Source organism: Homo sapiens, chromosome 15, assembly GCF_000001405.40.
Source record: "Homo sapiens chromosome 15, GRCh38.p14 Primary Assembly".
NCBI lineage: Eukaryota > Metazoa > Chordata > Mammalia > Primates > Hominidae > Homo > Homo sapiens.
Window position 1 is genome coordinate 84,011,243 of NC_000015.10, and position 21,152 is coordinate 84,032,394.

At 40.6% G+C, this 21,152-nt stretch overlaps 1 protein-coding gene across 10 annotated transcripts in view, besides 1 other annotated feature; it reads left to right on the top strand.

The window, feature by feature from the left end:
- Positions 1-21,152, top strand: part of ADAMTSL3 (ADAMTS like 3) — a 385,720-nt gene that overhangs the window by 357,120 nt on the left and 7,448 nt on the right. For 9 of the 10 annotated variants that reach the window (XM_011521823.3, XM_017022434.2, XM_011521822.3 and 6 more), the window contains 5 exons: positions 3,300-3,482; positions 5,141-5,257; positions 10,168-10,351; positions 13,996-14,194; positions 20,093-20,190. In XM_011521823.3, coding sequence (XP_011520125.1) covers positions 3,300-3,482; positions 5,141-5,257; positions 10,168-10,351; positions 13,996-14,194; positions 20,093-20,190 — 781 coding nt within the window. Of the gene's footprint in view, positions 1-3,299; positions 3,483-4,892; positions 4,937-5,140; positions 5,258-10,167; positions 10,352-13,995; positions 14,195-20,092; positions 20,191-21,152 lie in introns of those variants that run through there. The other variant, XM_011521825.3, reaches the window with a different exon arrangement.
- Positions 11,182-11,351: an enhancer, noted in NCBI's record as "experimental_41714 CRE fragment used in MPRA reporter constructs". NCBI's record gives its function as "activates a minimal promoter by MPRAs in K562 erythroleukemia cells, with activity observed for both the introgressed and non-introgressed 15:84691261 variant alleles {active_cell/tissue: K562}" and the evidence as "EXISTENCE:reporter gene assay evidence [ECO:0000049][PMID:34662402]".

Sequence of the window (21,152 nt, forward strand, 5' to 3'; positions counted from 1 at the left end):
AAACTCAAAGACTGAGAAATTTTCTTGTAGGCTAGAAATAGAAGGAAATTTATATACCAAAAAAAGCATCATGCTTAAGAAAGAAACATTAGTAATATTCCCATTAAAGTTGGAAACAAGACAAATATGCCTGCTGTCTTAGACCACTGGGGCTGCTATAAGAAAAATGCTATAGACTGAGTAGCTTATAAACAACAGAAAATTTGTTTCTTACAGTTCTGGAGGATGGGAAGTCCAAGATTAAGCTTTTCATGTTGAAGGAGGTCCAAGATCAAGATGTGGTGGGGAGGGACACAAATATTCAGTCTAACGTACCTGCTATAGTGGTTATTATTCAGCATTGTTCTGGAGACACTAATACAATAAGACAAGAAAAAGAAATCAGAAGTATACATATTGGAAAGGAAGAGAAAATTGTCATTATGTGCAAATGATATAATTATTTACCTTAAAAAACAAGAAAATCAATTAGAAAAACTATTCAAAATAATAAAGTTCAGTAAGATGACTAGAAACAAGATAAATATGCAGATGCTTATAGCTTTCCTAAGTGTTGGCAATAAACAACTATGAAATACATTTTTTAAAATCTTGTTTACTGCAACAACAAAGAACTATAACATGCATTGGAATAAATATATTAAGAGATGTATAACATCTACCTATGTTGTGGTTAAGAAAGGTTCTGAATCAAATTGTATTGGTATAAATCTCAGCTCCAATGTTTAATAGCTGTGACCTTTCAGAAAGCTTAAACTTTCTGTATGTGTATATGTGTAGAAGAAAATGCTAAAAAAGATATATGCACATGTGATTAGCATTCCTTCAGCTATTTAGGGCTAGCCTAGTTTTTATAACAATATTTAAAACAAATCTCTCGGTGTATTGGTTTTCTATTGCTGCTGTAACAAATTAACACAAACTTAGAAGCTTAAAACAATACCCATATATTATGTCACCTATGTTGCACAGAATTGCTGAACTGACTGTTACACTTAGAGTATCTAAGGCCAAGATCAAGGTGGTGGCATGGCTGCATTCCTTTTTGGAGGCTCTGGGAATAAATCTGCTTCCAAGCTTCTTCAGGTTATTGGCTGAATCCCTTATCATTTTAGAACTGAAGTTCCCATTTTCTTGATAGCTGTCAGCTGAAGGCCACTCTCAGCTTTTAGAGGCCACCTGCACTCCCCAGCTCAGGTCCCTTTTATCTTTAAAACTAGCAATGGTGGGTTAGGTTGCTCTGACACTTTGAATCTCTCTGAACTCCTCTTCTGCCTCATCTCTCCTACTTTCTCTTTCTCCATATGTCCCTGACAGCTTCTGTCCTTCTCTTCTGATTTTAGGGACTTATAGAATTACAATGGGCCCAACCAGATATCTCCCCATTTTAAGGCCAACTGATTAGTAACCTTAATTACATCTGCAAATTCCTTCACACCAGTGCCTAGATTGACATTTGATTGAGTAATGAAAGGATGAGAATCTTGGGGCAATGTCTTTAGAATTCTGCCTACCATACTTGGATCATACAAAGCCACAGGATTAAGGACAAAAAGTCCCAAGGGCAACCATCTCAGACTCCAATTTTGAAAACTTCAAATAGTATATCTGAACATAATGAAGTTCCTACTCTTCTTTCAGATTCCTTTCACAGACGACACAGTTGAAATCTAAAGGGCTTTGCCCAAGGCTACAGAACTAATAACTATTGAGAATGAAAACAAAGCCTCACCCCAACCCAGCCAAGATAGTGCTCCCCCTATGCATTTCCACCTCCTCTTTGAATAGAAATTTAGTCTTTTTTTCACCTTGAGTTTTCAGGCAATACTTCAGTGCCAATATCAGTCTTAGGTTTCTACAAGTAAATTTAAGCATTTCTAGATAACAGTTTCCTCCAAAGCCACACAATGACTTCCTTAAGAGACTTGAATAATCAGCTTGATGTAATGGACAGAACTGGACCTGAAGTCAAAAGGCTTACCAGGTTCCTCAATTGTGAGATACAGCTAACAATGACTGCCTCCCAGGAAATAGGAATAACTATGAGAATTCAAGTGTCACCATGTTCATGGAGCACGCATTTTGCCTACTGTAAGGTGTGTTGCACATGTCATGATAATAGCGGTCGCATCTATTTTTTAAGTCAGAAAACCATACCATGGCTTCTCCATTCTCACTAACCAGAGCACTGTAAGAGGAGAAAACATCCCCCAAAACAGTTGTCTAGAGCAATCTTGGCATCATCTGAAGCTATTCCAGCTCTTAAGAGCCAGATGAGGTCAGGTGCAGTGGGAGGCTGAGGCGGGGGATCGCTTGAGCCCAGGAGTTCAAGACGACCCTGAGGAACATGATGAAACCCTGTCTTTACAAAAATTACAAAAATTAGCTGGGTGTGATGGCTTGCACCTGTAGTCCCAGCTACTTGGAGGCTGAGGAAGGGAGGGTCACTTGAGCCCAGGAGGTTGCAGTGAGCCAAGATTGTGCCACTGCACTCCAGGCTAGGTGACAGAGGGAGCCTCCATCTCAAAAAGAAAAAGCAAAGAAGAAGAAGAAGAACCAAATGAAATTTCTCTATTCCTCTGAATCTTAAATTCCAAAGCCCAGCAAAATGCTAAGCCTTCTGAAGACTTGGGGAAAGAAATTCTTTCAATTCCTCATGTTCCCCTCTGTGTCCAGGCTCCTGCAATGTTGCTTACAGTCCCTGCATCTCACTGCATTGACCCGGAATTGAAACTCAGCACTTACTTTTGCTCCCTGAAGTTATCCTCCTTTACAAAGAATTAATGAACTCTGTTTCCCTGGATGTTGTATATTCTTCCTGAGGGAGGAATGTTTCATTGCTTATGCACAGCAAACAACTTAAAGACCTCTAGGAAATATTTATGTTTTCCAAAGACTTCCTTGTGACAACCTACCCCCTGGGAGTTTCTCACTGTGTCTCTACCTCCACATTCCCCCAGCTTCACCGACTCCTTCTTTCCAACCACACTCCCACTACCCTACCCACCTTCAAAATTCTCTCCCTTCCCAATACAGAGCAATCCTACTCCTTGGTTTCCATTCCATAACTTATATGTGTAAACCAGTCACATGCCCTGTAGACCAAAGCCCTTTGCTTTAAGAGGATCCTCCATCTGCCATAGAGTAGCTATAGAAATAGAAATAGCCATTTTTCCTATTATATATGATTAAACCCATATGCTGACTTACGGTCAAAACAGTGAATGGTATTTGTCAAGTGGTTCTGTGGCCCTGTTCTTAAAGGAATTGCCTTTGTCATATTTGTTTTTGTTCCAAAGGTGTCCCTCAGCCTAATATAACTTGGTTGAAGAGAGGAGGATCTCTGAGTGGCAATGTTTCCTTGCTTTTCAATGGATCCCTGTTGTTGCAGAATGTTTCCCTTGAAAATGAAGGAACCTACGTCTGCATAGCCACCAATGCTCTTGGAAAGGCAGTGGCAACATCTGTACTCCACTTGCTGGGTAAGTGTCAAATTCTTATTGCTCCTTAAGTGCCTCCTGTAATATGCACAAAGTAGGCCCCAGTTTTGTTGATTTTGGAGTTGAGTGAACGAGATGGACATCAGATGGTTTTAACCATTGCTGCCACTGCCTGCTTAAAAACGAGCACTAAATTCTAACACCCTATTTTACCACCCCGTATTCCCAGCACCTAACACAGATGTTAGTGTTTGTGTGTGTGTGTGTGTGATTTTTTTTTTTTAAACGGAGTCTTGCTCCGTCACCAGGCTGGAGTGCAGTGGCACAATCTCGGCTCACTGCAACCTCTGCCTCCTGGGTTCAAGTGATTCTCCTGCCTCAGCCTTCTGAGTAGCTGGGACAATAGGCGCACACCACCATGCCCAGCTAATTTTTGTATTTTTAGTAGAGATGGGGTTTCACCATGTTGGCCAGGATGGTCTCAATCTCTTGACCTCGTGATCTGCCCGCCTTGGCCTCCCAAAGTGCTGGGGTTACAGGCATGAACCACTGCGCCCGGTCAGATGTTAGTGTTAAGTAATGGTTTCATGAAGGAATGAAATTGAACCATTGGCAAAATTAGTATAAGAGTATAGAATCCATTGCTAAACCAAGAGGAAAAAACATGAAAGAGATTTCTCCATAGCTTTCCTTGGGGCAGTTAGAGGAGCCCAGAGATATAAAGAGATAGGGGGTGCCAATGCAGGGAGTTGGAATAGCTGTCATGCACAAAGCATTTTGATGAGCGTTAATTCTTGTGATACTTATGATAGCACAGTGTTGTGGGTGGTATTTTTTAATCTCATTGTATTTATGAGGAGCCTTGGGCTCATAAAGAGTTTGAACTAGTGCCCAAATATGTAGTCTGCTCTTTTGGTGCTCTCCCTGCTACCCCTCATGGACTCTTAGTACTGACAAAGGCAGTGGTGTGCCACCACGTGGCTCTTTCCAAAAAGCCTCTGTGTGATCTTCCAAAATCTTCGAATGGAAGAGTTGCAACAGATTGGCTAGGCTAACCCTGTCTGGTTCTTGAATGATTTATCCATGCTCCCTGAGAAACCCCAGCCTTGTTTCTTTCTTCTGCCCATTTCCACTCATGAATCTGCATGCTTGTCTCACTCCTACCTGGCATACCTCTTCTCTCAGGAATCCCCTCAAGCCAAGCAGCTCATGACTTTGGTAACTTGATGGAGAGGTCAAATCATGGCATTCCTCCACCATCCTCTGCTCTTATGTGCAAGCTTCACAACCTTCCTAAAAGCCCGTACTCCTCACCATGCAAACCTAGGGAACATTGCCCGTTCTCTTGCTCCCAGCATTCCTCTTAAGAGGCAGAGCTCTATCCAACCAATCTGCTTCCTCCAGTCCCTTTTGGAATTCTGCTGAATACATTTTTTTCATCTTGCAATTTAGGCTAGAAACCCTGGAAACATGCAGAGATGCCACATGCTAGCACAGTGAGTAACTCTAAACTCTATAACACCCCACACGTCCATACTTATACACACCTCCCAGACCTGTGGTCATGAGCTTGAGTATCCAGGAGCACAGTATTATTATAGAGGACTCATTTTCTAATAGCTGTCTTTAAGAACACCCAAGCTGGACCAATAATTAGATAATGTCTAACTGGTAAAAGTGCTACTTTTTTTTTTCCTCAGAACGAAGATGGCCAGAGAGTAGAATCGTATTTCTGCAAGGACATAAAAAGTACATTCTCCAGGCAACCAACACTAGAACCAACAGCAATGACCCAACAGGAGAACCCCCGCCTCAAGGTCTGGGATTTTGACCTTTTCAGATTTGCTATGTGTGAGGCATGTGTAAGGAAAAGGATTTAGCTAAAAGACCATCTGTATTTTTCACTTTGCAATATGTAAAATTATTTCTAGGCATTTGGCCAGCCTTTTTCTTGACCCTCAGTCTTTAGTGGTTCAACTTATTCTTTCCATATTGAAACACTTTTTAGAAAAATCCACTCCTGAGGAAGCCTACAGAGCTCATATCTCAAATGTGCACTATTATTTGTGATAATATAGATATTGATTTCCAGTTTCAAAACTATTGCCAATTTGGTAAATATTAATAGATATTAATAGTCTGCTATGAGTATTGGAATTGATTTTTTAATTGTTCTTTTTTCAAGACATAGTTTTCCATACACACCAACTTTGTTATGCATCAGTGCTTAATCAGGAGAACCTAATCTAAGTATTACAAGCTTATAAAACTCTGCAGAAGGCCAAGGGATCAAGGCAGAGTTAAGAAAATCAGAAATGCTAGAAACGCAGGAAACCATTACTGGTCATCTCAGCTCCTTGTAGCTCAAAAATGGGTAAATCGCAGAAGGACACAAACTCTTTTTTTAATTATTTTGTTATTTTATTTTGTTTATTTTGTTTATTTATTTATTTGAGACAGAATCTCGCTCTGCCTCCCAGGCTGGAGTGCAGTGGCGTGATCTCAGCTCACTGCAAGCTCCGCCTCCCAGGTTCATGCCATTCTCCTGCCTCAGCCTCCCAAGTAGCTGGGACTACAGCCACCCGCCACCACGCCCGGCTAATTTTTTGTATTTTTAGTGGAGACGAGGTTTCACCGTGTTAGCCAGGATGATCTCGATCTCCTGACCTCGTGATCCGCCCACCTTGGCCTCCCAAAGTGCTGAGATTACAGGCGTGAGCCACTGTGCCCGGCCACAAAGAAACTCCTTTTAAACCTCATGTTGTACTCGTTATATAGGAACAATAATGGCCACGTCATTTTCACCTTTTAAATCTTGAGAAGTGCCTCTCATTTGCATAATGTATCATGCAGAATATAACTCTACCGGTAGAGATTTTAAGAAATGTAGTTTCTAGGCTTTCACCTCCTGAGGTGCAAGAGAGAGCACAGAAGGGGAAAACAGTGTTGAGCTGCCAATCAGCAATCCATCACGTTACTTATGACATCATTCTCTTATAGTATTTGTATGACACATTTCTTCTCCTCTTTTAAACATAATACTAACATTATTGTATACCCAAATATCCATTTATTGGACATTCAACAAATATTGCCCAGTGCTTACTCCTCCCAGGTCTGGGGTTGCAGATGACCTCCTCCTTGAGAAGCTCACAGTCTGAAGAGGGAGGCAGTCACGTAAACAGATACTGTAAAGCACTGGGACAAGTTCCATAATAAAAAGATGACCAAAGTACAATGGTAGCACTGAGGAAGGGGCCCTACCTCTCTCTAGAGAAGTCAACTGAGTTTTCATGTAGGTCATGATGTTTGTTCTGGGAAGAGGAAAGAGGAAATTCCAGTCAGAGAAACCATGGTGTGTTGCATGTGGCATGGAACATGAAGATCAAAAGAACTGCCTAAAATAAATTAATGAAAAACAAAAAGGATATGTGTGAGGCTGAAGCTATTGGTGAAGGTGAAGCCTTTGGAATAGTCAAACTCTTGGTTTATTGGGACTACTTGCATTGTTCTGCCACCTCCTACACAGACACACACAAACACATGCCCAAATATACAATCACACACACACACATTGTGGAATGTCCCAGCCCTTCAAAGGATCCTTAGCTTAGCATTTCAAAGAGACTCCTTTATTAATTTAACAAATACTGCTTGCATGGCTAATATTTCACATACCCTGTCCTAGTGTTGGACAGGGTGGTGTTTATGGTCTTGACATTCCAGTAGGAAAGATGCACAAGAAACCAGTAAACAAATAAGTATTTAAGATATTTCTCAGTGGTAAGGGCTATGAGATACACAGTGATAGGAGGAAGCCACTTTAGTGAAGACAGTCGGGATGGGCCTTCTAAGAGGTTATATTTGAGCCCAGACCTAAAGGATGAGGTGAAACCATTTGTGCAGAAAAATGAGAAAGAAGCAAAGACCATAAAATTGGAATAAGGTTAATGTGGCCTCAGAATGGAAATAAGATTCATGTGACTAGGGTACAGTTGAGGGAGAGGGAGAGGGATATGAGATGAGGTTGGAGAGTGGCTGAGGACCAAATCATTCAGAGCTTTGAGGTCCAAGGTAAAGACTCAAGAGTTTACTCCTAAAACATGGGAGGTCATTGAGGAGTCTTATATGGTAGTGATATGGCATGATCTGCTTTTCAAATGCATTTGTGTCAAAAAGCACTAAGTAGAAAACAAAAACAAATTATCAAATTGGACTGACCGCATCAAAATTTTAAAGATCTCCTTATCAAAGACACCAATAAGAATAATGAATACATAAGCCATAGACTGGGAAAAATATTGGCAGAACATATGTCTGATGAAGAACTTATATCTAGAATATATAAAGAACTCCCACAAGTTATCAATGAATATCCCCCACCACACACACATACACACACACACACACACACACACACACACACACACACAGTGGGCAACAGACTTGAACAGACGTTTCACAAAAGATGATATATAGATGGCATCAGGGAAATGGAAATTAAAACCTCAGTGACATACAATTTCATACCCAGTAGGGTAGCTAAAAACAAAAAGACTGACAATGCCAAATTTTGGCAAGAGTGTGAAGCAACTGAAACGCTCATGCATTGCTTAGTGTGTAAAATGTTTAGACCACTTTGGAAGACGATTTAGCAGCTCCTAAAAAAGTTAAGCGCACACCTACCCTCGACCTAGCAGTTTCACTCACAGGTATTTACCCGAAAAAAAAAATGTTCACAAAAAGCTTTGTTCATGAATGTTCAACTTATTGATAATAGTCATTGACAGGAGAATAGATTAAAAACTATGGTAGATTTATACAATGGGAACATTATTCAGCAATAGAAGAAATGAAATGAACTACTGATATGCACAATGATATGAGTGAATCTCAAAAACCTTATGCTAAGCAACGTAGGAAACCAAAGGCCGGGCGCAGTGGCTCACACCTGTAATCCCAGCACTTTGGGAGGCAGAAGCGGGTGGACCACAAGGTCAGGGGTTCGAGACCAGCCTGGCCAACATGATGAAACCCCATCTCTACTGAAAATACAAAAATGAGCCCGGCGCGGTGGTGCACACCTGTAATCCCAGCTTCTCAGGAGGCTGAGGCAGGAGAATCGCTTGAACCTGGGGAGGCAGAGGCAGCACTGAGCTGAGATCATGCCACCACACTCCAGCCTGGGTGACAGAGTGAGACTCTGTCTCAAAAAAAAAAAAAAAAAAAGAAACCAAATACACAAGAGTACATATTATATGAAGTACAAGAATAAGTAAAACTAATGTATACTGATAGAAATGGACGAGTTGCTGCCTGGGAGGGGAGAGCAATTGATTGGAAAGAGACAAGAGGGGGATGATGAAAATATTACATCCCTTGCTTTGGATCATGGTTACGTAAGTGCTTACAATTGTGAAACCTTGTAAAACTGCACACCTGAGATATAATCAATTTATTGTGTATGAATTATACCTCAATTAAAAAAACACACACATTTTAAAAGAAATGCACATGTCCTGCCTTGAACTGCCAAGGTGTCTTTGTGAAATGTGGCATAATAGAGTCAGACACACTTGGGATCCAGTCCGGCTAACAGGTGACAGACCTTGGGCAAGGTACTCAGTTTCATTCAGTTTCCACCTCTGCAAATAAAAATATCAACTTCACAAGATGATCTTGAAAATTAAATGAAAAATTGATTATAAAGTGTCTAACTCAGTTCCTGTCACCTGGGAGGTTCTCAGTAAACGTATCTACTTTTAAAAAATTATTTTTAAATAAACTGTATTCCTGAGTGTCCAACTAAAAATGTATTTTACATTTTTGCTTTGCAAATGATGCCATGTACAACTTAAAACGAACTTCAAAAATCAGAAGGAAAAAGTGGAAAACAAGTGAAAGAAATCACTCTGCTATGTGAGAGAGCCTGTGGACACAGCTGGTAGCTATTAATTACTTGTAATTATTACAGGAAAATCTGGCACCTTCTGTGATCACACACAAATCCATCATCATCATGTCCTACCTCATCTTTTGCTGAGTGTCAGCAGGGAAGGGAAAGGCTGTTTGGAATAGGGATTAAAATTTTTAAAAAGCTGGGATTACTGGAGGTGGTCGGCTTCTACTCTTGTAAAGGAAACTCCTACATTTATCTCTTCAGATGTCTCTGTGACAAATTATTTATGCAGTCACAGGATCAATCTGAAGTTTAGATTAAGAATTAATGGAAAAATAAGAACAGAACTCAAATGCATCTTTAACCTTACTGCTTAATCCCTAGTCCCTGTTCCTCCTGCTAAATCATCTTTCATTTCTCTGCCTGATCCACTTTTGAGAAATTGAACCCGTTAGGGCATCCCCTAGAGAGGCCCTCCTCTCTTGTCCTGTTGGCTGTGGTTAGAGAACACTGAGGAGGCAGCCCACTGCTGAGAGTGCCTCCTCTCTCTCTGGGATTTTTCTGGCAGACCCAGCTGGCCGATGATAGTCCCTCTCCAGACTGTGGTCCAAGGACCCCATTCTGGCCGCCATTCTCACCAGTTATTACAGTAAATTAGTTGAGGGAAAATAAGATTTAGAGGACTCCCTTGCACTATGAGATGGCTTTCTCTCCATATGCTACTTAAAGAACCAAAAAACATCTCATGGTGGTTTTTGGCCATGTCTTCTCCAGCTCGTCGTCATTTCTCTTTTGGGGCTGGCATGATATTTTGTTTTCTTTCTGCAGAGCCTTTTTGGGAGCCTGGTAACTGGTCACATTGTTCTGCCACCTGTGGTCATTTGGGAGCCCGCATTCAGAGACCCCAGTGTGTGATGGCCAATGGGCAGGAAGTGAGTGAGGCCCTGTGTGATCACCTCCAGAAGCCACTGGCTGGGTTTGAGCCCTGTAACATCCGGGACTGCCCAGCGAGGTAAGTGAAGTCACTCTTTGTATCTCATCAACACCAAGTTTTTGTTTGTTTTGAAAGGTGCAGTGATTTGGACATAATAATTCAATAGCTAAGTTTTTTTTATCACTTACTGTATACTAGGCATCCTGCTAAGTGCTTTACATGGATCACAGTGTCCTGTGAGGTAGATGTTGTTAATTTCCTGTTTCGTAGATGGGGAAACTCCCCTAGGCCATACAGTTATAAGGACCAGGATTCAAATGGTGATAGTCTGATTTTAGAGCCCCTGCTCTCAATCACTAACCAAACCTGCTTCCTGCACACACAATCCTGTCAGTTCTTTAAGACTTTAGTGAGGCTAATTTCTTGGGTTTACTTAGGAGATAATTCAGTGGGCCAGAATCACCAGAGGCACTAGTGAAAAACACAGTTCTCTAGACTTGATCCCTGGAGGTAAAACCATTAATAAGCTTTCTAAGCAATAGGTAATACAAATCAGTAATTTTTAAATGTCCAAAATCAAATTCATGGTCTCCAGCAAACTTACTCCATCCCCAGTATTTCAGATCTTGATGACTACATCCTAGATGCCCCTCTTTCTCTCACTTCCATCCATTCTTGTCCATTTCCACTGTTACCACTAAAGTCCAAGCCGTCATTTTTTCTTACATGGACTACTCCAGGAGTCTTCTGGTTCTTATCTCCCTCTCTGGAGTACTTTGTCCACTCTCTAAGAATAAAGATATTTGAAACAAATTCATCATGATGGTTCTCTTAGTTTCATTAGGTTTCTACCTCTGCAAATAAAAATATCGACTTCACAAGATGATCTTGAAAATTAAATGAAAAATTGATTATAAAGTGTCTAACTCAGTACCTGTCACCTGGGAGGTTCTCAGTAAATATATCTACTTTTAAAAAATTATTTTTAAATAAGCTGTAATCCTGAGTGTCCAACTAAAAATATATTTTACATTTTTGCTTTGCAAATGATGCCATGTGCAATTTACACATTTATCTTAGGACAAAGGCCAAAATTCCCAGCACTGGGGTTGTGACTATCTTGTACATCTTTTTATCTCATGTTTGAAACAGTGCCTAGCAATAGTAGGTGCTTAGTAAATATTTGCTGACTGACTGAGTAAATGAGTGGAAGAATTGAAGTCCCTTCATATTTGGGCCTTGGGCTATCTCTTTTATCGCTTGTCTCTCCCACACTGGTTATTTGATCTCCTTCCATGCTGGTCTTTTTTTGTCCCTTAGATATACTATTCTGTTTCCTGACTCAGAGGCTTTGTGCATACTTCTCCCTCTGCCTAGGACACTGTCCCCTCTCTCTTCACTTAATCATTTCTGTTCATCTATATATACCTCAATACATGCTCAGGGAAACCATCCCTGAACTTAGCCCTCCAAAGTAAATCACGCCTTATGTTATATGATTTTTATATGTCCTTATCATTCTTCATAATTCTTACCACAATTGTCTGTCTTGCTCTCCCACTAGACCGTAAATTCTATGGGGAGTAAATCCACAGGTATTTTGCTCAATAATTTATTCCTAGCACTTAGCACAATGTCTGCTGCATCATATACTCCCTATAAATATTTATGAAATCAATGAATGAATGATTACAACACAGACCCTAGCAGATAGTTGACCAAATAGTACCAAAATCCATAGTAAAAACAATTAACAAATAAAAAAGCATTTGTTGAGTACAAACCAATGAAGAAGATACTAACATTTTACTGATGAGAAACTGGAGAAATGTTTAATGTTATATAGCTCACTGCCCTTGGGCAGATGTCCACACTAGATCCAGTCTCTAAGAGTGCCTTGGAGGAGAGTGGGAGGCAGGGTCACAGTGTAAAGCAAAATAGGTTCCTTAGGACATGTTCTTAGGAGGGTTATCAATATTGCAGGCACCCTAACTGATAGGTCTTCCAGTACCCTTTGTAATTCTCAAAAGGAAGATCTCATGTTAAGGTCATCCCTCAGAAAGCAGCAAACTCATGCTTCAGTAACTTGGAGTAACCTGATTGAGAAAGCTGTTTTATGGCATTTCTTGATTTTCAAAACGCGGAGAGAATCCACATTGGGAAATCTGTCAGCAGTCTTGTTTCTCGAATATTCTAAAACCTTTGCACACTCCTAGGATAAACAGTCCCACACTTTCATACCTAGAAGAGACCATAGAGATCATCTAATCCCAGATCCCTCTACATCAAGGCTTCTCATCATTTCTGTGCCACAGCTCCCTCTGGTGGTTTGGAGAAGCCTGTGGATACCGTCTCAGAACCAGGTTTTTGAATATGTAAAATAAAATACATTTGATTACAATGGAAACCAATTATATTGAAGTTCACTTAGTGAAATATTTTTAAAGATCTGATATATCGCCGGGCGCAGTGGCTCACGCCTGTAATCTCAGCACTTTGGGAGGCCGAGGCGGGCGGATCACGAGGTCAGGAGATCAAGAACATCTTGGCTAACACGGTGAAACCCCGTCCCTACTAAAAATACAAAAAAATCAGCCGGCCATGGTGGCAGGCACCTGTAGTCCCAGCTACTCGGGAGGCTGAGGCAGGAGAATGGCGTGAACCCGGGAGGCAATGGTTGGAGTGAGCCGAGGTTGCGCCACTGCACTCCAGCCTGGGCGACAGAATGAGACTCCGTCTCACAACAAACAAACAAACATACAAGATCTGATATAGATTTACTTCTCTATTAACACAAAAAATAACAAGATATAGTTGTGCTTTAATTTTAATATGGTGATGAATATAAATGATATTTTGAGATACCTGTCATAATGTAATGTGTAAATATCTATGATTTCTATTGGTAACAAAATCACAGGTATTATTAATGCTACTGTACTTGTGGCCTATGTTTCTATAATTGAAGGAAATATTAAATTTCAGTTAGAGCTTAGTGACAATGAAGACGGAATTCTTTTTCCATCCAAGTATGTGGTTTCCTTGGATAACCATGGACATCATGTTAGAAACCCCTGCTCTGCAGTCTCCCAACAGCATCTTTGTCCCAACAGACAAAGCACTCAATATCTCAAAGGTGTCCAGCTCCAAGTTCAGTCTCCTATAATCATTAAAGCATGAACTTTAGAGTCAGATAAATCTAGAATCCAATCCCAGCTCTGCTGGCAGGTTAGTCATGTGGTCATAGCTAAGTTATTCAGTTCAGTGGACATCCGTTTCTTTTCTACAAGAATGGGAATAACATGAGAATTATACAAGCTAACATGTAAGTATCTTGCAGGGTAAACAACACTTAGATGCTGGAAATATATTTTCTTCATTTTAGTTTCAGTGAGTTGAACTCCACCTTTTGGAAATTTCCTCCTAAATTTGCCCCAGCTTTACCCTCTAGGGCCACACAAGTAACAGCTCTTCATAAACCTGAAGACAGCTGTACCCCATTCCTAAAGTAGTCATCTCTACATGATGACACTGTTTCTCCCGAGTTAAAGAAGGTCTGAGAAAAAGGCTGGGAGTCATCTGTGCTGCTTCCCATTCCCATAGAGACATGTGACAGCCTAAGATAGCCATGGTGTTGGGATCAGCTTTTTCCTTTGATGAGACGCCCCCTCTAAGATCTGGCATACCAGTCCTTACTAAAGTCCTGTAGTTTTTGTTCCTAGGTGGTTCACAAGTGTGTGGTCACAGTGCTCTGTGTCTTGCGGTGAAGGATACCACAGTCGGCAGGTGACGTGCAAGCGGACAAAAGCCAATGGAACTGTGCAGGTGGTGTCTCCAAGAGCATGTGCCCCTAAAGACCGGCCTCTGGGAAGAAAACCATGTTTTGGTCATCCATGTGTTCAGTGGGAACCAGGGAACCGGGTAAAGCTAACACATCTAGTTTGTGGACAGCACTATCTGTCCACACAGATAGTGTGATAATAATCACCTTGTTTCCAATAAACTACTTTTGGGGCGGGGGGCAGGAATCTGACTGGTCTCTGAAATGAATGTATGTCTTTGACCTCAAGGTTTACATTTAGAAATCATAGTATCTCTGTCTTCCAGTACAAAAGTGAACCAAGTTTGGGTTCTTTGAATGCAGTGATGCCATAACAGAAGCTCCAAGTTAGACCAGTTTAGGGCAGTAAGAATAAAAGTAGCCTTCAGGAAAATGAGGAGGGGAACATTAGTGGTATCTGCACAAAAGCCTCAGAATCTTCATCCCAAATGCCACCTTTGATAATGTTATAATAAAAATACTTAGGAAAAAGTTTAATGTGTAGGAACCCATAAATAAAAATATAACACATTATTGAAACACATAAAAGTTGAGCAAATAAAAGACTTATTATACTCCTGAATGGAAAATCTCAGTACTACGAAGATGTCGATTTCCTTAAATGAATATATGCACGTAATACAATTCCTATTAACATCATAGTAGAACTTTTTGTGGAATTAAAGATAATTCTGGCATTCACATGGGAGATAATATGACAATAAAGACATAAATTTTTATTTTAAAAAAGTATTGGAGGTATAGAGAGACTTTCCTCATCCTATGTCAGAGCATGATGCAAAACTGTCATGAGTAAAATAGTACAGCATTAGTGCAGAAGAGACACAGGTTATGGTGTATAATCAGAGCTCAGAAACGGACCAGATTGACTTTAACATTTAAAGGCAGTTAATCATAGGAGAAAACATTGTTTTAAAAATAGAAGATATAAAACTACAAAATATTTTTCAAAGAAACTAAAGAAGATCTAAATAAATGGAAAGCTGTAAGACTTATTATTACTAGTAACACAATACTCTTGAAATTTATCTACAAATTCAATGTGATCGCTATCAAAATTTTATCTGGTTTCTTTGCAGACATTGACAGTCTGATCCTAAAATTCATGTGGATATAGAAGAGACACAGAATAACCAAAACAATTTTGAAAAGGAACAAAGTTGCAGGACTCAGACTTCTGATTTCAAAACTTACCAAAAAGCTACAGTAATCAAGATAGTATGGTACTGACATAGGATGGACATATAGATCAATGAAATTGAATTGAGTCCAGAGATAAACCCATATATATATATCTCAATTGTTTTTGTATAAGGTTGAGAAACCATTCAATGGGGGAAGAATAGTCTTTTAAACAAGTGATGCAGGACAACTTCCAAAAAAGGAAGTTGGACCCTTTACACCACATACGAAAAAATAAAATGAATCAGAGAACTAAATTTAAGAGCTCAATATATAAAACTATTGGAAAAAAATATAGGTGTAAATTTTCATGGCTTGGATTAGGAAATGGCTTCTTAGATATAACAACAAAAGCATAAGCAACAACAACAAAAATAGATAAATTGGACTGCATCAAAATTAAAAACTTGTGCTGCAAAGGAAACCATCAAGAAAGTAAACAGACAACCTATAGAATGGGAGAAAATGCTTAAAAATTGTATATCAAAAAGGAGATTATCTCTAAAATATGTAAAGAATACTTACAACTCAATAATAAAAACACAAATAAACTATCAGCAAGATATGCAAATGGCCAATAAGCACACGAAGGGATGCTTTCCATTAGTCATTAAAAAATGCAAGTCAAAACCACAATAAGATACAAGTTTAGGCTCACTGGGATGGCATTAGTGAAAGAGATAGTGACAAATGTTGATGAGGATGTGGAGAAATTGGAACCTTCATGCTGCTGATGGGAATGTAAAATGGTACAGACACTTTAGAAAACACCCTAGCGGTTCCTCAAAATGTTAGATTAGATCTATTATATGACCCAGAAATTCCACCCCTAGGTATGTATCCAAAAGAAATGAAACATTCAGGATCTATATCCTAGGGCAAAAAAATACAAATAAGAAACGGAGGCCGGGCGCGGTGACTCACACCTGTAATCCCAGCACTTTGGGAGGCTGAGGCAGGAGGATCATGAGGTCATCCTCGCTAACATGGTGAAACCCTGTCTCTACTAAAAATACAAAAAATTAGCTGGGCGTGGTGGCGGGTGCCTGTAGTCCCGGCTACTTGGGAGGCTGAGGCAGGAGAATGGTGTGAACCCGGGAGGCAGGGCTTACAGTGAGCTGAGACCACGCCACTGCACTCCAGCCTGGGCGACAGAGCGAGACTCTGTCTCAAAAAAAAAGAAAAAAAGAAATGGAACATATGTCCACACAAAAACTTGTACATGAATATTTGTTGGAGAATTATTAATAATAACCACAATGTCATTAAGTAGAAACAACCCAAATAACAACACCCCATAATAATAAAAAAAATGGAAACAATTGGTGAGTAGATGAGCTGTGGTATGCTTGCACAATTGAATATTTGACCATCAAAAGGAATGAAGGACTGATATATGCTACAATAGAGCTAAACCTTGAAAACATTATGGTAATTGAAGGAAGACAGATGCAAAGGACCACTCTGCATGGCACCATTTATACAAAGTGTCCAGAACAGGGAAATTTGTAGAGACAAAAAGTAGACTAATGGTTGCCGAGGCTTGGGGAAAGAAGCAATCAGAGGAATTAGGAGTGACTGTTAAAGGTATGGGGTTTCTTTGGGGATGATGATCATGTTCTAAAATTGATTATGGTAAAGGTTATACAACTCTAAATTCCGTTAACATTCGATGGCAAATTGTATAGTTTGTAAATTGTATCTCAATAAAGTGGTTAGCCAAAAAAAGAAAAAAGGCAGTATAAGACAAATCGGCTAGCTAATGTAAGAAAAATAAGTAAAATCAGAGCACAGACTCAGAACATACACCAAAATAAATTCTAACTTGATTAAAGAGCTAAGTGTATCAGTAAGTAAATGCAAGTAGAACTATCATGACAGTAAAGACCTTTTTAAGCATAAAATAAATTATAAGGACAAATTAATAGGTATTATTATAAATAAGTAAAAATTTTAAGAACTGAATGTCAAAATTTTAAAATTTTTTTCCTGTAATTGAACCCACCTTAGCACACAAGTCTTCATTTTTGCTCACAGCAGAAAAACCCAAACTTGGCAGACATTTATGGTTTTAAGCATAGTCATTTCCGGACTTAAACCCAATTGATTCAAGATTTGCCCTGTCATTTTTTCCTTCTCCCCAGAGGTGGTCTAAGTTTTGTGGGAGAAAGGAGGGTGATATGGTTAGGCTTTGTGTCCCCACCCAGATCTCATCTTGAATTATAATCCCCATAATCCTCAATATCCCCACATGTCAAGGGAGAGACCAGGTGGAGGTAATTGAGTCATGGGGGCAGTTTCCCCCATGCTGTTCTTGTGACAGTGAGTGAGTTCTCACAAGATCTGATGGTTTTATAAGAGGCTTTTCCCCCTTTGGCACTTCTCCTTCCTGCTGCCTTGTGAAGAAAGTTCCTTGCTTCCTCTTTGCCTTCCATCATGATTTTAAGTTTCCTGAGGCCTCCTCAGCCATGCAGATATGTGAGTCAATTAAACCTCTTTCCTTTGTAAATTACTCAGTCTCAGGTATTTCTTTATAGAAGTGTAAAAATGAACTAATATAGTAAATTGGTACAGCAGAGAGAGGGATGTTGCTATAAAGATACCCAAAAATGTGGAAGCGACTTTGGAACTGGGTAACAGGCACAGACTGGAACAGTTTGGAGGGCTCAGAAGAAGACAGGAAGATTTGGGAGAGTTTGGAACTTCCTAGAGATCTGTTGAAGGGTTTTGACCAAAATGCTGATAGTGGTGTGGACAATAAAGTCCAGGCTGAGATGGTCTCAGGTGGAGATGAGGAACTTCTTGGGAACTAGAGCAAAGGTGACTCTTGCTATGCTTTAGCAAAGAGAATGGAGGCATTTTGCCCCTGTCCTAGAGATCTGTGGAATGTTGAACTTGAGAGAGATGATTTAGGGTATCTGGTAGAAGAAATTTCTAAGCATCAAAGCATTCAAGAGGTGACTTGGATGCTCTTAAAAGCATTCAGTTTTATGCATTCACAAAGAGATGACTTGGAATTGGAACTTATGTTTCAAAGGGAAGCAGAGCATAAAAGTTTGGAAAATTTGCAGCCTGAGGATGCAATGGAAAAGAAAAACCCATTTTCTGAGGAGCTGAGGAGAAATTCAAGCTGGCTGCAGAAATTTGCATAAGGAATGAGGAGCAAAATGCCAATACAATGGGGAACATGTCTCCAGGGCACGTCAGTGGTCTTCACAGCAGCCCCTCCCATCACATACCCTGAGGCATAGGAGAAAAAAGTGGTTTCCTGGGCTGAGCCCAGGAACTTGCTGCTTTGTGCAGTCCGAGCACTTGGAGCCCTGTGTCTCAGCCATGGCTAAAAGGAACCAACATACAACTCAGGCCATTGCTTCAGAGGGCGCAAGCCCCAACCCTTGGCAGCTTACACATGGTGTTGGGCCTGCAGGTGCACAGAAGTCAAGAATTGAGGTTTGAGAACCTCTGCCTAGATTTCAGAGGAATGTATGGAAAACCCTAGATGTCCAGACAGAAGTTTGCTGCAGGAGTAGGGTCCTCATAAAGAACCTCTGTTACAGCAGTGCAGAAGGGAAATGTGGGGTTGGAGCCTCCACACAGAGTCTCCACTGGTGCATTGCCTAGTGGAGCTGTGAGAAGAGGACCACCATCCTTCTGACCCCAGAATGGTAGATCTACTGACAGCTTGTGCTGTGTGCCTGGAAAAGCCACAGTCACTTAACACCAGCCCATGAAAGCAGCCAGGAGTGAGGACTGTACCCTGCAAAGCCACAGAGGAGGAGCTGCTTAAGGCCATGGGAGCCCACCTCTTACATCAGCATGATGGAAGACACGGGGTCATGTCTGGATGTGAGACATGGGGTCAAAGGAGATCATATCGGAACTTTAAGATTTGACTGCCCCATTGGATTTTGGCCTTGTATGGGGCCTATAGTCCCATTATTTTGGCCAACTTCTCCCATTTGGAATGGGTGTATTTATCCACTGCCTGTACCTCCACTGTATCTAGGAAGTAACTAACTTACTTTTCATGTTACAGGCTCATAGGCAGAAGAGACTTGCCTTATTTCAGATGAGACTTTGGACTTGGACTTTTGGGTTAATGCTGGAATGAATTAAGACTTTGGGGGACTGTTGGGAAGGCATGAATGCTTTTGAAATGTGAAAGGGACATGAGATTTGGGAGGGGCCACGGGCAGAATGATATGGTTAGGCTTTTTGTCCTCACCCAAATCTCATCTTGAATTTTAATCCCCACAATCCCCACATGTCAAGGGAGAGACCAGGTGGAGGCAGTTGGATCATGGCGACAGTTTCCCTCATGCTATTCTCATGATAGTGAGTGAGTTCTCACAAGATCTGATTGTTTTATAAAGGGGGCTCTTCTCCCTTCACTTGGCACTTCTCCTCTTTGCCGCTTGTGAAGAAGGTGCCTTGTTTCCCCTTCACCTTCTGACATGATTGTAAGTCTTCTGAGGCTTCCCCAGCCATGCTGACTGTGAGTCAATTAAACCTCTTTCCTTTGTAAATTACCCAGTCTCGGGTATGTCTTTAGAGCAGTGTGAAAATGGACTAATACAGAGGGGATGGTAAGCTTAGGCAGTTTCTTCCTGACTCTGAAAAAGAGGTGTCTGGTCCACAGAGCTGTACCCTAATCCTCTTTAACTCCCCCCTGGGGACAGTTGGTTACAGTCCCCTTGTAATAGGTCTTCAGCTATCCTGCCTCAGTACATGATCTTAGTACACACAGCATGGATGAGCTTGCAGGATTTACACTGCACTGTGCTTTTTTGTTCCAGTGTCCTGGACGTTGCATGGGCCGTGCTGTGAGGATGCAGCAGCGTCACACAGCTTGTCAACACAACAGCTCTGACTCCAACTGTGATGACAGAAAGAGGTAGGGGCCCCACCCCAGAGCAGCACACATTCTCTCCTGACTCACTCAGGACAATGATTATAACTGCCTGAAAATGGAATCCTTTCTAGTTTCTACCAACTCTCATAATTGACAGTTTTCAATTATGATTTATTTAGTGTCATCTTCAATAGTATATATTATACTGAAATACTAGTTAATGTGCACTATTTATAACTATAAATTGTTTGGATGTTAAACAATAAAGGGACACCACTCTATGTGGTAAAAGGGGAAAAGGATATCATTGAGAAAACGGAGATACTTCTCCCTCTATATACTAAGTTAATCAAGCCTAATAATATTCCATTTAGGCTTACAGATTAAATCTTCTTAATGCTTTTAATGAACTGCTTTATTTCTCTGTTTAGAAAATGTTTTGATTAGGATATTGTCACAGTGGTTGGCAGATAGTAAAATAAACTTTAATCTTGTTGAGGAGGTTAAATAAGGGTGGAGTTTGCTTTCCTCCTTTTATAAAAGTCTGAGCTGGTAGATGGTTTAGGGATAGAAGAGCTTTTTTCATGGGGTCATCCAGAGATCCAGATGCCCTCCATCTGGCAGCTCTACCATCCAAGAGAACAGCACCCCAGCCAGCAGAAAGTGGGGAGAGAGCCTAGAAGGCACACTAATCGGGGGCTTGGGAGTTCTATTATATCACTCACTTACTGTGTGACCCTGGACTGCCTAGCCACCTAATCTGCAAAGTGGGATATTATCATCCATGTGAACTTATGTTTAGAAAGTTTTAATGATTTAGCTTAGTGTGAAACACGAGGCAGCCTGGGTCATGGAAGATGCTCAATATCTGGCTATTTCTTCCTTTTCCATGTCCTGAGTCTTGCTGGAGAAAATGAGATGACCTTGACAGTTGGCTGGGTTACCATTTTGAGCCTTCAGTAAGGTTTGGCAATGTAGGGTCAGTTGCATTTCCTATTCCCCAC